We start from the raw sequence: 16,690 nt of genomic DNA, 5'->3' as shown, positions 1-16,690 counted from the left end.
CAGTTTCCTTCTCTGCCTTGCTAAAAATAATCTTGTCCAGAGTCAGACTCCCAAGAGTCTAGAATGAGCTGTGAAGTCCATCTGCTTTTCTTTGTCTAAAGTGTTTTCACTCGCTCTTTAAATGTAAATTTCCCTACAAACTGTGGACTGAAATTTCTGGTTCTGGTGGCACTAGACTTTAAGGCTGCAGCATTTTGATTCCTTTAGGTCTAATTTGTGAACTTTTCAATATCACATTCAAGGGCAAGACTACAAACTATCTTAAGCCTTTCCTGGAAAACCTATTCGCATGTTGATTGTTTGGGAATGGCCTGGAGGATGCTGCAGCCTGCAAGTACCAGATCACATATATGTGACTGTAAAAAGGAGTCCTGGAAGAATTTACTTTAATAATCATATTAAATCAACAAAAATATTGAGACTGAGAACTTATCACTCTTCCTTGTGGGATTAGCATAACATGGAATGTGAATGAATCAATTAAAGTTAATATGAGAGACTACAGTAGCTTTCTATTTCCTCAGAAAATGGTGGTAGAGAGAATGCCTGCTCTTTTAATTGCTGTCCAAGAATTTCCAAGAAATGTTTCCCCTTAATGCTTGAGAGGTAAAGATGGGCAGAGAGTTTATTATTAAACCTACAGAAACTCCTGCAAAAGTATTCCAGACACAAAGACAGAAGTAGAGATGGGTTCTTGGGCCTCAGATAAATGAGCAGATGCTTGAATTGCCTAAGTTAGATTTTCCAAATTCCTCTGCGAAATCGGCAAATAGAAACAACTTTGTGCTCCCGGCATTTTGAAGTGCAGGATACAGCTTTATATATGACTGAGGACAAAGATACCTTGAATTGTACATAGGATCCCCAGGGAAAAGATTTAGTGCCTTCCTTTCTCTATCATTGTCCTTTTTTGTGGTGTACATTCTTTTGTCTTTGCTAACAATAGCATAGAAACTGACTAGTCTAACAGAATGTAAGAAGACAATTGGCTGTGTCTCAATAAAAGGAGGCAAGTACATCTTCCTGATGAAAACATTCTTGAAAAATCCATTTAGCCCCATTTTAGCATCTCCTCTCAAGATGTCCTTAAAGTGAGTTTTCCACATACAATCCTTATAACCACTCAACAGTAATTTATTTTGTAGAAAAAAATCGTGTCCACTTATTTGAAGGCAAGAAAAAGAGCTGGCTGTCTGTTAAAGATGGTCATTTGGACAGTAAGTTTGTATGAAGGCAAGCAAAAGAGCAGGCTGTCTGTTAAAGATGGTCATTTGGACAGTAAGTTTGTACTCAGATGGCTTTTGTATGTGGGGATTGGGGTGCTCTGCACTCTAAACTTAATGGAGGGGTTTTGTGGGAGATTTGACTTCCCAGGAACATATTGAAGGATGGTGTGGGCAGGGGAAACTGATTCAGAGATACCTTGTGAAGGAAAGTGGAGGGATCAGGCTGAGTCTCCCAAAAAGGGCAGAGAAAATGGCAACTGTTTCCCCCTGGCTCAGATTCCCAGGTATATTATAGGCTTTGGTCACTGTTTCTGGAAAGAGAGGTGAAACTTGAGTGGACTTTTCTTTAGATTGTCTACCATCTAAAGCATAGCTTTACTGACAGTGAAGAGGGGTTGTAAAAGCTTTCATTTATCCTTGAAATACCTACTGAGCAAGGAACTATGGAAAACAAAGTCCAGCCCAGACAAATTCTGTGCTCGTCAAGATTATAGCATGACACAGTAAAAATGCTTATGTTAGAAAGTGAGCTCATACTGCACACGGAGAAATAACATGGAAGTGTAACAGTGGGAAAACTTATTTCCAGCTGGAAATGACCTCTAAGATGGGTTTTGTGGGACAAGTAGACACATAGAAGCAGGGAAGCAAAACACAGAAAGAAAAAAGATCGGAGACAAAGGCTCAGAAATGGAAAACTTCCAGGCATGTATAAGGAACAGCTGCTAGTTTGGTTAAGCAGAGGAGAAAGCTGGATGTAGTCCATGAGAATTTCCCTAAAAATGGGAAATAAAGCACATTTCATCTCCAGTCTGTCTGTGGTTAAAGCTTTCTAAACACATTGAAACTACTGCTTAATATAAGTTTACAGCAAAAATCCTTTTGAATTTGGAGAACTGCAAGATGTCTTGCTCATATTCCAAATCCTTTCTGCAAATTTCCCAATAAAGAGACGTAAGTTATTGTCTTCCACAGCAGGGATTCTCAACCTCAGCACTATGGACATTATGAACTGAATAATTCTTTGTTGGAAGGTACTGTCCTGTGCATTGTAGGATGTCCAGCAGCATGCCTGGCCTCTAATAAAAGTCAGAAGCACCCCACTCCAGGTACAACAATCAACAATGTCTCTAGACACTGCTAAATGTCCCCCAGAGAACAAAACTGCCCCCAGTGGTGAACCTATGGTCTACACTGAGTCAGTGTTTCAGATGATTGTTCTCCTTGCATAGATGAAGACAGCCAAGTAGGAACTTAAGAAAAAAAAAAAAAAGCCCTTCTATATTCCAAATGCATGGACTCTCTGCATAGAGAATAATTTAGCTCTTTTTATTACTAACTACCGTTTGATGCCACTGTGTTACTTAGCATACAGGAAAAATGGACACAGGCGTCCAGCCATGTATAAATGTGTGCTGCCACTTATCTGGGACTATTAGAATCATCACATACTCCTGATTATTCTTCAGAACTCTTTAAATCACTTATGAAGACTTTGCCTTGGAGTATTTTTTAAATAAAAATAGCAAGTTAACTGCTATTTCCATGCAATACACAAATCAAATTTCAACACTATCAAAGATTACTAGGTCAAGATCATTGGGTAATAAGCTCACCTTTGGCATGAAATAGCAAAAGGGGGAGAAGAAGGGAGAATTGAAATAGATGGTCTTTAAAGGCCTTTGAACTCTGAATTTTTAGTTCAGTTATTTTGCTGGAACACCAGAAAAATCAAGAATAAAACAATTTGTATTGTATCAGCCTGATATTTTCTTTAAAAACTTTTTTATAAGAAAAATGATTCTTTTATATACCCCCCTCAATTTTTTTTCCAAAAATGAATAATATATGCAGGAATACCTAGAATATGTTAAAAGTGTGGAACGTATGTTTCGTTATGAACGATACTGTGAAATCTTTAGATGAGGAACTAGTGCTGTCAAAGTAGAACAACATTTTTTAAAAGTTGCACTAATGGTCAAAAATTATTATTACTACTTTAAAGTATTATATTTGTCTATAAGTTACTTGGGAAATTTATAAATAAGTATAAAGCAATTCATCTCATAATTGTATGTAATTATTTCTGTATTTTTTATCCTAAAATGAAAATGTTTCTGGAGAGTATTGGAATACATGATACAGTACCACTATTACCACTAGATAACAACAGTGCTATTATCGAACACGTGTTCGTTGCAAATGCATTTGTATAAATAAATCAAATCCAAGTAGCATACTTCTATTTTTAAAATTCCTATCCTTAAGATCAAAGAAGTCTATAGGAGAAAGGGACCATGGAAACATTTGTATACGACTAACAGACACTGATTAATGATAAATGCCTGGTATAGTCCATTTTCGTACTCTAAAGTTTCTAAAATCAAAGGTCTGTTTTCTTGACGATTTGTTTTCTAACATCTTTTAGCATCTTCTCTTAAGTAAATATATTGATAATTGAATCTGTTCCTTCAAAGAGTTTAACTCCATGATACACTAATTAATTTTTTTAAATAGCGACTTGGGTAGGGAGAGACATGAAACCGTCAGTCTTTCTCCTAGTTTTATTAAGAAGTTCAGAGTTACTCTATTTTACTCCAAACAACAGCATTTAATTAGTTAACATTAATAGGGTTTCTCCTGGACTACGATGTAGGGAATTTGCAATATTGTGAAAAGGCATCTTCTTCCTCTGGGCCAGATGGCAAAAAGATTTTTTCTCATGCCAACTCCAGAAGTTGACCTAGATTGTGGTGTTAGGAACCATGAAGCTATCATAGGGATTAGCAGGAAAGAGTGTTGGTAGTAATTAGGGCACGAATGCTGTGTTTGCCAACCTCATGACAGATTGCACCTTTTTCTCCCTGGAGTGGGTTCTGAAAGATTAGTAGAAGTTTATTGTAAAGAGCGCGGCACTCTAAACAGAGGAATAGCATGTGCTAAAGCTTAAACCTATATTAGGATGTGCAATGTTTGGAAAACAGCTACCCAGATAGGACTTTGGATAAAGTTTACTAAGAAAGGCACTGGATGAGAGAAATCAGGCAGCTGAGGATGACGATAAAATAAATAGAGGTATAGATCATGAGCATTTATTGTGCAAGACTGCAGCAAATTTTAGGCACAATAAACTCCATTGGGCATGGCTAAAAAGAAATGGAGTGTTTTTGTGCAATAGTTTCCATAAATATATCATGCATACATTACCAATTTCCAAATACCTAAATGCTCACAAACCCATCTCTTACTCGAAGAAATTCTATAAACTGACCTAGACACAGTGATGAATTCATGGAACTAATCTCTCAAGTAAGGAGCTAATATATATAAATATATATATATATATTATATATAAAAGACTATTTTTGGAGCAGATTTAGGTTAACAGAAAAATTACAAAGAAGGTAAAGAGAGAGTTCCCACATACCACCCTGCACATACACAAGGTTTCTCCTGTTATTAACATCTTGCCTCAACGTGGTACATTTGTTACCACTGAGGAGCCAATATTCTTACATTATTAAAGTTCATAGTTACATTGGGGCTCACTCTTTGTGTTGTACAGTTCTATGAGTTTTGACAAACGTGTAACGTCCTGTGTCCACCGTTACAGAATCATACAGAATGGTGTTGCCGCCTTAAAAAGTCCCTGTGTTCCACCTATTCATCCCTTCCTTTCTCCTCCTAAACTGTTGGCAAACACTGATCCTACTATCTCCAGTTTTGCCTTTTCTAGAATGTCACATAGTTGGAATCACGCAGTATGTAGCTTTTTCAGACTGACCTCTTTTATTTAGCAATATACATTTAAGGTTTCTTCGTGTCCTTTTGTAGCTTGATAGCTCATTTCTTTTTAATCACTAAATAATACTCCATTACATGGATGTATCACAGTTTATTCATTCACAGATTGAAAAACCACTTGGTATTTCCAGCTTTGAACAAATATATGAATAAAGCTGCTACAAACATTTGTGTGCAGGTTTTTGTGTGGACGTAAGTTTTTGTTCATTTGAATAAGTATAATGTTGTATCATTTGAAAAGCTGTGGTTACCATTGTAAAAAACTGCCAGACTGTCTTCCAAAGTGACTGTACCATTTTGCATACCTATCAGCAATGAATGAGAATTCCTGCTTGTCGTTCCACATCCTTTCCAACGTTCAGTGTTTTCAGTGTTCTTTTTTAAAACTTTAGCCATTCTAATAGGTATATAATGATATCTTGTTTTAATGTGCAATTCTCTAATCACATATATTAATAATCTTACCATCTGTTTATCTTCATTGATGACATATCTGTTCAAATCTTTTGCTCATTTTGTAATTAGGTTATTTTCTTATCATTGAATGTTAACAGATCTTTGTATATTTTGGATACAAATCCCTTTTTCAGAATATGTTTTGCAAATATTTTTTCCTGTGGCTTTTCATTCTCTTAACAGTGACTTCCTCAGAGCAAAAGGTTTTAGTTTTAATAAAGTCCAATTGATCCATTTTTCTTTTCATAGATCATACTTTGGTCACCTGAATTTTCTTATCTTTTAGAAGCTGTATAGTTTCACAGTTTACATTTAGTTCTATAATCCATTTTGAGTTAATTTTTGTGAAAAATTTAAGGTCTGTTTACAGACTCATTTATTCGCATGCAGATATTGTTATACCAGCACCCATTTGTTAAAAAGACTATCCCTTCTCCATTGAATTGCCTTTGCTCCTTTGTTAAAGATCAGTTTCCTATATTTGTATCAGTCTATTTCTGGGCTATTCTGTTTCAATGATTTATTTCTTTATTCTTTCATTGATACCACACTGTCTTGATCACCGTAGTGGTAGTAATCAAGGATAGTGTCAGTTTTCAAAAACTTTATTCTTCCACTTCAATATTGTGTTGGCTATTCTGGTCTTTTGCTCTCCATATACACTTTAGAATCAGTTTGTCAATATCCATAAAATAACTTGCTGGAATTCTGAATGGGATAGTATTGAATCTGTAGATCAAACTGGGAAGAATAGATATCTTAATAATATAATATTAAGTCTCCCTATCCATAAATGTGGAACATCTTATTTCATTCAGATATTCTTTTATTTCCTTCATCATAGCTTCATAGTTTTTCTCACATAAATCTTGTACATATTTTGTTAGGTTTACACCTAAGGTTTTTGTTGTTGTCATTGTTTTTGTTTTGTTGGCACAAATGTAAATGGGCTTATGTTTTTAATTTCAAATTCTGGTTGTTCACTGCTATATATAGGAAAGCAATTGACTTTTTGTAAAACTTTGTATCCTGCAACATTGTCATAATCACCTATTTAAAAAAAAAACTTAATCAGTTCTTTGAGATTTTATACATAATCATATCATTTGTGAACAAAGATAGTTTTATTTATTCTTTCTCAATCATCTTTTATTATTCTTGTTTTATTGCATTAGCTAAGACTTCCAGTGTGATGCGGAATAGGCATGGTAAGAAGGAACATCCTTGTCTTGTTCCTGATCTTAGGGGGAAAGCATCTAGTTTCTTACCATTATGTCAGCTATAGGTTTTCTATGTTCTTTATCGCATTAAGGAAATTCCCTTCCGTTCCTAGTTTTTATCATGATTGAGCGTCGTATTTTGTCAAATGTGTTTTCTGCACTTATTGATATATTCACATTTTTCTTTAGCTAATTGATGTGATTACATTGATTTCTGAAACTTGAACCAACTTTGCATACCTAGAATAAATCTCTATTGGCTGTAGTGTGTAACTGTTTTTATACATTGTTGAATTCAATTTGCTAATATTTTGTTGAGAATTTTTGTATCTGCTCATGAGAGATACTGGCCTATAACTTTTCTTCATAGTAATTGTCTTTGCCGAATTTAGTATTGGGTAATGCTAGTCTCACCCGATTAGTTAGGAAGTATTATCTCTTCTATTTTCTGGAAAAGACTGTAGAACATTGATGTCATTTCTTCTTTAAATGTTTGGTAGAATCCACTAGTAAAACTATTTGAGCTTGGTGCTTTCTGCTCTGAAAGGTTATGGTTGATTTAATTTCTTTAATAGATCTAGGGATATTTAATTATCTGCCTATTAATTACACCTGCCACTGTAATGATCTCTTATTTCTCCTGTGTGAGCTTTGGCCAATGATATTTTGAAGTATTATTTCCATTAGGATTAAGTAAATATTCAAGATGATGACTACTATGAATTATTCAAGTCATAAAGAAGTCCTTGCGTATTAGGAGTTAGTTAGAAAAAATTTACCTTTGCTACCGGTAAAGGTTCTAATAAATTTGATTGCATATATTTAATCTACTCAAAAACTAAGTTCAGATTTGATTGCTGAAAGAGGCATAGAAATTTATTTTAAATTGACAGTGCCAAACAGAGCAACAAATTAATGAAACATCAACAACAGTGAGAGGCTTTTCATGTTTTCTTACAATCCCTTTTAAGATCAGAGAACATTTTTTCCCCAAAAATTTCAAAGGAAGAGTCAGAGCCAAAGCATTTTGAAAAGAAAAAGAGTTTACTTGAAAAGGTTCAAGGGAGTCAGACTTCAGAAAAACTGGATAAGCAAGTGAAAAATATAACAGGTATTTAAAGAAAAATATAAAGAAGATTACCATGATTACTAAGTTTGCATTAATTTGTTCATGGAGAAAAAACAAAATCTTATCACATGATGATCATATTCAGAAAGATCTTGCAACATGAGCTAAATAAAAGTCAAGAATAAAATGGTGTTTGCTGGGGATCTGGGATTATAAGAAATACTCAATGTTTCATTATTTTGGGACCAGAAATTGACAGGGTAACGCTGTTATTTTTGGTTAATCTTAGGGTACAAGGTGCTTCATCATGATGGAAACAAACAGGGCATGATTTCTGCTTTGCTTCCAGAAGCATAAAGCAAATGTCACTACTACAAAATATAGATAGGATATTTCTTATAACTCTAATCACTGTTGTAAGTAAATAAAAATCCAAAGTCAAATCATAGACTCTCAATTACCATGGTTTTTACACATTTCTACCATCCCTTCCTGGTGCACTGTATTGAGCCATACTGAGCTATATTTTTCTACTTCACAACTTTTCACTTACGGGAAGACAGCTATTGTCCCCCACACCACCCTAATGTGGGCAAGAGGACCACTTGACCCTCATATATTTAACACTCTTGACCCTCATATATTTAACATTCATAATTATGTATTGCCTAAATACTCACTGTTGTAGTCACTGAAATGCCTGTGAAATAATTTTTAAAACTGTATTTACAAAAGAAAGCCTATTTCTAGTAATGGTGATGGAAATTAAGAGAAAATATAGACATCTATAAAAGTGTGATGGTTCTCAATGACAAAATATGATTTATGAAACAAATGGCTAAAATCCTAAATCTTTTGCATGTTTGTACTCAGGAATTCTCTCTCTGGTGAGATGTGGCAGCTTTTTCCTTCCCCTCCCTCTTACTCCTCCCCATCTCCCTTCTTCCATTCCTTCCTTTCCTTTTACATTTTAAAATAAATGAGGGTGGGAAGACCTGTACATACAAACCCATACATGTACCTATACCTCATCTTCTTAGAAGGATTTTAAACTCTGATTCTTCCATTATGTTCACCATCCTTCCTTAAAAGTCTAGCTATAAGGGATAAATGTCAGTGTCCAAATGTCCAAAATCTAACATAATATCTCATAATTATGATAGGTACTTGATGCTAGGAGAAATAAGAGATTTGACAGTGATAGGTGAGAAAATGTCCTGATATACAATTTTGACAGTACATGTAGGATACTCAAAAGGAATTACGCCAATTCGGGTTATAATTCTTTCTAGTTATGAAGAATATATTATTTCTGTTAACATACATAATCTAGAAGGCAAGCACGGGCTTTTGAAGGGTCATAGAAAAAAAAAATGACCAAATCCACTGAGGACAACTTGGTGATAACATTTTCTCTTTTTCATTTCAAAGGTGTCCTTGAATGGCCATTTTGGACAAAACTGGTTGTGGTAGCCATTGGCTTCACAGGAGGTCTTGTCTTCATGTACGTACAGTGTAAAGTCTATGTTCAGTTGTGGCGCAGGCTGAAGGCCTACAACCGTGTGATCTTTGTACAAAATTGCCCAGACACTGCCAAAAAACTGGAGAAGAACTTCTCATGTAATGTAAACACAGACATCAAAGATGCTGTGGTAGTGCCTGTACCACAAACAGGTGCAAATTCACTGCCATCTGCAGAGGGTGGCCCCCCTGAAGTTGTATCAGTCTGATGGAACCTGTTGGGAGTTTCTTCACCGAAGAATATCTTTCTAGCCCTCAGCCACTACAAATGACAGAAGTGATCTTGAATTATTTACTCCCTTCAGCTCCTCCTTTCTCCTACTGACACATTTTTCCTGACTTTGTTCAAAGAGGAAAGGAGAAAAACAAACAGACCAAATGCCCAGGAGCCCATGAAGTAATAGCGTAAAGTAAAGTATGATATGGAAATGTGAAGTTTGCAAGAGAATGATTTCCAAGACAATTAAGAACTACTGGGGCAATGAATGCTTTTAGGCAGTAATCAAAGATTAAATGGACCCATGATACTCTTCTTCACAGTAACAGGGGAAAAGTTCAAGAATACAGACTTGAATTGCGATGTGTATTACTTCTAGGGCCTTGTAATGTTAACTGTCTCATCTGGAAATAACTAACATATTTGGTTTTAAGCCTGAAATTGTCTGCATTATCCCTAAGTCACATTGGAAGTGAACTTGGAGGATGCATATTTTGATATGCTTTGACAGCTAACAGATTTGTATGGTTTAGTGGAGTCTGGTTATTTTGACAGATGCATGTTTTTTTTAAATAGATGCAATATACATTTGAAGACATTGATATTTGGAATTAATTACGTTTGTTTAAGTCACGCAAAAGATTTTCAGAAAATGTTCGGATATAATTAGCTCTGTTAAATACCCACAGAACTGTTATCAGGTCTTATATTTATTTTCATCTGGTTCCTCTAATACAGTGCTGTCCAATAGAAACACAACAGCCACAAATGCAGGCCACAGATGCAAATATTTAACTTCCCAGTAGCCCTATTTTAAAAAGTAAAAATAAATGTTTGTTTGTTAAAATGAATTTTGATTTTTTAAAAACACTATATGTTATTTCAACATGTCATCAATATAAAAAATTGATTGATTGATTGATAGTTTACATCTGTTTCTTGAACCAAGTTTTCAAAATCCAGTTGGTAATTTAAAAGTACACTTCAACTTGAATTAACTATATTGGATAGCACAGCCGTAAAATTAGAGACTAAGCTTCTGCTTTATTTAACAGTTGTTGAGTATTTCAAAACAGTTTAATTCATTCTTTTATTTCAAAGTCACAAAAGTTAGTTATGATTTTTAAAAGCATTAAATTAAGTGTCCTCATTTTAAAGTCAGATGAAGTTCACATCTCTAAAGGGTAAAAATCCAAAAGTATAGAAAGATAAAACAATCAATCTGCCTATAGCAGAGTTGTGAAATAAATAAATTGTTACTATGAAGTACTTACAATAGGGGAATAAAATTACCTATTTTTGTTATTAAATCAAATGTGTAAGGCTTATTTCATCCATATGAGGTGTCAACTTGACAGATGATGAGTAATTATGACTAAGAATCTAGCCCTTACTTTTAAAAGCTGACAGGATTTCCCTTGCTCAGTTAGAAAACAAAAATATTCAACAGATTCTGTGATAAGTAATTAATCGTTTAGGTTTGACAGTTGATTATTGTGTTCTTTGCATATTCATGTAAAACTGATGTGTGAATGACATTGCAGTGAGCTAGATTAACGGTGATTATAGATACAGTAGCCTGTCAAAGAAAGATGTCCTACATTAAAAAAGGTGACTTATTTTTGTTAGCTGTCATTATTTATTAACATGAAAAGGCAATGATGGCCATAAGAACCAAAGCATGAGTATCACACTGCACAAATCTGGGTATCACATGGATGCACTTTGTAATTATCAGTGTGCTTGTTCTTCACAGATCATAGGAAAAAGGGAAAAAAAAAACAAACCTTTAAATGAGGAGAAAGATGGTATAAATATTAGTAGTGGCTGACACTGAGTCCAGATAGTCTTGATTCCTAGAAATAAACAAAAGGTAAACAATGTCAATTTTGTGTGTGTGTATGGCGTGTGTGTAGTCATGTATATATGCGGGGAAAATGTTAAGGTATTCAGTCAGGAAACAAAAGGTTTAAAACTCATCTTTCTTAAAACTTGTTATAAGCACAGGGAAAGCAAAGTTGAGGTAACTAAACTGAACCAAAAATTCTGTATAAATAAGGATATAAGTAATTAACGTTTTAAAAAACATGTGGACCTTAAACAAACTGTATATTAAATTCCTCTTAAATGCCCATTTTAAATATTTAAGATAAATACATTTATGAATAACAAATCTGTGGGTGATTTAACCATGGCACCATATCCAAGGGATTAACCTTAATGCAATTTTCCTGTTAATTGTCCTAAGCTTTTTACTAATCCATTTTCCCTGTGGGTTAGTAATGGCAACATGCTGCTTACAGATATTCCCGGGGAAAAACATCCAGACACCAGCAAACAAAGAAATGTTGATTTCTCTTTTGTTTGCTCTGAAAGTAAAATAATTATTTACTTTAATTAACATGGAAAATATTGTTTAAATTCTGTACGAACCTAAACAAGATACGTTGCAGGGCTGATTTCACAGTGGAGGATGATCGGCTAAAATAAAGCCTCATTTATTAAGGGCTACACTTTTAACACTAAGAAAACATTTCTAGAATAAAAAGCAAAGGTAAGCATTATTCTATTAATAGTAAAAGAGGACATGGGATTTTAAAACTATACCTAAATTCTTGCAATTAACTTTTATGGGCTTGGACATTGTTGAAATGAGAAAATAATATAATATAGCTTCCTGGCAGGTTAAAAGTCAACACTTGATTTTGCTATTCTTCTGACTTTTTGAAACCCTGAAGTTCTGAATTTCAAGCTTTTAAGAAGCTTTTCAGCAATGGTTGTTTGTTTATGGTTCAAACATCTGAAATAACTACCTGCATTTAAAATCTAATGTTGATTATTTTCTTTTTACATTCTGTGTGGCAATGGAACATTTGCCCTTTCAAACAATAAAACGATTTAGCTTTGTGGCAGTGCTTTTTTGTAGACTGACTGACTATACCCTTCAAAAAGAAAAACTGCTCTACGGAATGCAAATTTTGAGGCATGTTTACCTGCTCGTGGAAGAAATAAAATGGAATTGAAAAAAAAAGGACTAAAATTGAAGAATGAAATTACAGTTGTGTTAAAAACCTTGGCTCTTTATAATCATGAATCTTCAGTATTAAACCAGACATTGATGCTGTTAATTTTTTTAAAGAACTATCACTCTTATCGTACAGGAGTAAAGATTAAATTGTAAAAGAAAGAAATTCCAATTTTTTAAAAAGTAAAGCCCAAAAGGCAATTAAGCTTAAGTACAAAAACAAAATAAAAATGAACAAAATCTAAACTAAAGTGAGCCCAACAACCTGAGATACAGCAATGTGTAACCTGAAGGAAGATAGGTGTAGACTGAAGGAGTCTTTCAAAACACCCCAGCATTAAATCTCACTCTGCGCTGCTTCTACACGTGATTATAGTCCCAGACAGACGACCTCATGGTTTTTTATCTTGTTTTACAAAAGGTCCTTGGGTACTCTTTAAAACATCTATTCTTTGGCAGGAAAATTAGCTCATTAGAACAATGACACCATTAAGGGACATTATAAGGGTCCTGGGGCTGAGGTGGGAAGATTTTTCTATCTGCCCCATATAGTTTACCCTTCCTTGCCTTGAAAATGAATATTATAGAACAGAGTACAGCTCTTAAAAGTTATTAGTATCATTATTATTATAGTTGTTATATAATACTTTAATTAAGAAAGATGAAAACCTTTTTTCTTTCCTAAGTCAGCCCAATGGTGCTATTTTACATATCAACACAGTTGAAAGGAAGTACTGTTATTTTGGGCTGCAGTGTTTCCTCCACATCTAAAGAAAGCCCATTTTGAAACTGGATACTGCATTAAAACAAAGAAGGAAAAATTATTTTAACTGTGTGCAGTTTTTGAAATTAGGCATTTGTACTATTTTGGTTTTACATAATTCTCTTGCATTAACAATTTACTGTTTTGTGAATCATGTGTACTAAAGCAAATTAAGAAAAAGAAAATAATTATCTGTGAAAGACTTTGTATATTAAACAAGTGACGCAAACCTTAGTTGTGGTTTCCACAATTTTTGCCTAACAGACTGATATTTGTATTTGCAACATCCAAACACACATACATTTTTTAAGATTTTACAAGGGTCTGAACATATAATTATTTTAAAGCAAACCTACGTTGACTAACTCATGACATGGTACAAATAAATAAATACACAAACAGAGGGAAACCAATGAAAATAAACTATGTGGACTTTCAAACCTGCTTTAAAAAAAGAGTTCAAGAGAAATCACAATGTAATCTAAAGCGGGACTGTCTCAAGAATAAGTCTTGGATATAGAAAAATAAGCATATAACAGCATTTTTCTGTTCAGAGATAATAGTGGATTCAGATAATTGCATGGATAATAAACATTAAAAGCAAGATATTAGAATCTAAGAGGTTTGGTGATAGCAAAAAACAAAGCTGTTTCCAAATGTCCAACTTCTAAGGACCTACAGGGCTTTCTACCAGTCTGCTAATTATATGAGCCAACTCCTCTGCCCAAAATGGAAATCTGAACTTAACACCCTCCCTCACCACCAGAAATTATAGCAAACATTCCTAGATCATTAATCACTGTCATTATGTGTCCAGTGATCCTAAACTGGGTGCTGTGATAGAGATTAACCAAGAGTAGCAAGGGTGTGGGGGTAGAGATGCTTTAGATAGAGAGAACACTTTTAAGCTCAGACCTAAAGGAAGAGAGAACAATCAGTTATTGTTGGCCTTGCAAAAGCTCAGGGGAATGGCAACGCAGGAAGAGGGAATGGTAAGTACCAAAATCCCGAATGGGAAATGTCAAGCAAAGGCTGATGGATTCGGCCAGTAGAGAAACAGGCCCTTGTAAGACTGTTTTATTACAGTCATCCCCCCAGTATGTGTGGAGGACTGGTCCCAGGACCTCCTTCAGATACCAGAATTCATGGATGCTCAAATCCCTGATATAAAAATGGTGTAGTATTTGCATATAACCTATGTATACCCTCTTGTATACTTAAAATCATTTCTGGATTACTTATAATACCTAATACTATGGAAATAGTTGTTACAATGTATTGTTTAAAGAATAATGACAAGAAACAATTCTGCATGTTCAGTACATACTTTTTTTTTTCGGACTATTTTTCATCTGTGGTTGGTTGGATCCAAGGATGCAGAACCCTTAGATAGGGAGGGTCAACTGTACTTACACAGACAGTAAGATGCAAAGGTGCGGCCTTCCCGTATGTCTTGTCCTACAGAAAGACACAAACAGAAAAGGGCCAGATGAACTGGTAGTGCTACATAAGGGGAAGGACACTCTGTTGCTGAGATGCTGAGTCCATGCTGCAGCTAAGTATTATATTAGATTGGTGCAAAAGTAATTGCGGTTTTTGCCATTAAAAGTACTTTTAAAAAAAAAAATGACAAAAACTGCAATTACTTTTGCACCAATCTTGAGTCATTAGTTTTATAGGCTGCAGCTCTATGCTACAGTGACTCGAGGTAGAGTCTCAGAGTTCATCAGAACCCAGGTGATGACAAATTGTCTCACTATCTCCTTCCCAGAAGATCAGGAGGCAAATGATATCCTCCATATCCCCATGCTCTGGGAAGATTATAGGACAGTCTTCCAAGGCTCAGTCAGGTCATCCGCAGCAAAACCCTGCCCAGCTGTGGATCAAGTGGACACACACAAGGCCATCAGGGTGCTGGCAACAGGAGCAAGAACAGTGGCAAGAAGGCCAGTTAAGAAGCTACTGCACATAGGACAGGCAAGACATGGCGACTTTGGTAAGGATGAAAAGTGAGACTGCCTGACACGGGCCAATTTGATTTTCATTTTGGAAGTGGAATCAGAAATACTCGCTAATTAAATTATATTGTGGGAAGGCATAGAAGAGAGAAAGTGAAAAATCAAGGATGATTTTACAGGCAGATTCCTGGCTTGAGAAATTGCGTGAAAAACTTAGAAAAATCAGGTTTCTGAGAAAATAAGGAGTGGGAAACAGAACATAAGTAGTATTTTCCTTTGAAAGGAAAAAAAAAGATATATCCATTAAATCAAAAGAAAGTGGTAATTTGTATTTTCTCAAAGATGTATAAAAAGCCAAGGGCTGAACATTGAGAAGGCTAGTATTCAAGTCAAGCTAGAAAAAAATATAAAAAAGTAGTAAAATAATTATCTCAAAGTTAGAAAATGAACTTAGTAGGGGAACATAATAAGATCACTAAGCAGTACTGAGAATCCACTTGAGATTTGCAAACATCAGTATGAAAATGGTCTGTTTGATATTCTCCAGCGATGTTGAGCTGCGTGAGAACAGGCATGAAGGAAACATAGCTGTTACTTGGTTTGGGTTCTGAAAGAGAAATAACTAGAGTCAGAGACAAGGAATTCAGGGTATATGCAAGGAAGCAACTATGAACTTGAAGCTAAGCTCAACAAGACAGATGATGCGTAATGAGAGTGAGGTCAAAGTGCAGAACTTCAGCAATGAAGAGGAGTGGTGACAGTGAATGGAGAGTGGAATACTCAAAATCAGGTCTACAGAGTGGAGGTGCTGATAAGGATCCAGGTGTGACCACTGAGAGGCCTCTGATGGGACAGAGAAAAAGACTGGAAAACTTAAAACTCATACTGTTGTTATATTTGCTAGCCACTATTTGTTATCCACAAGGAATCACTAAAATGATTGCTGCAGGGGAGAAGAAAACTAGGCCACGAGCTAAAGTATTCTATGAATGGGCAGAAGGTTCTTCTGGGAGGTAAGATAGTAAGGAAAGAAGGCAAGAATAGAACTTCAAAGACCTAAGGGAGAAAGTCTGAAGTGGCAGTAAAGCAAAAAGGACACCTACCCAATCTCCTGCCCCTGAAGCACACAGAAAGTAAGAATAGAAAAAAGCTTCTATTTGAGGTAAGCAAGGTCCTGAAGGGACACCTCTGTCAGTAATTACGGCAAGGAAGCAACTAGGATATTAGAGGAAAAGACCACAGATGTGAGTCAGCTGCTCTGAACTTAGAAATGTATCATTATGTCCATGGAAGTTCAGCTCATTGGTTTAGACAAGGGGTCAGCCAATTATGACAAGCAAGTCAATCCCCTGGCCTATTTTGTATGGCCGTTAACTAAGAATGGTTTTTATATTATTATTTTACTTATTTATTTTTTGAGACAGGGTCTCA

General features: G+C 35.1%; 1 protein-coding gene across 7 annotated transcripts in view; it reads left to right on the top strand.

Annotated features, from left to right (window-relative positions):
• The window catches only part of MARCHF1 (membrane associated ring-CH-type finger 1), an 859,722-nt gene extending 845,767 nt beyond the window's left edge, over positions 1–13,955 (top strand). For 6 of the 7 annotated variants that reach the window (XM_017008336.2, XM_017008335.2, NM_001166373.2 and 3 more), the window contains one exon: positions 9,207–13,955. In XM_017008336.2, coding sequence (XP_016863825.1) covers positions 9,207–9,505 — 299 coding nt within the window. In that variant the 3' untranslated portion in view covers positions 9,506–13,955. The remainder of the gene's footprint in view (positions 1–9,206) is intronic. The other variant, NM_001394959.1, reaches the window with a different exon arrangement.
• Positions 13,956–16,690: the final 2,735 nt, after the last annotated feature.

The sequence above is a fragment of the Homo sapiens genome, chromosome 4 (genome assembly GCF_000001405.40).
Source record: "Homo sapiens chromosome 4, GRCh38.p14 Primary Assembly".
Classification (NCBI taxonomy): Eukaryota; Metazoa; Chordata; class Mammalia; order Primates; family Hominidae; genus Homo; species Homo sapiens.
Note: the sequence above shows the minus strand (reverse complement) of the source record. Positions and strands in the feature narration are given on the sequence as shown.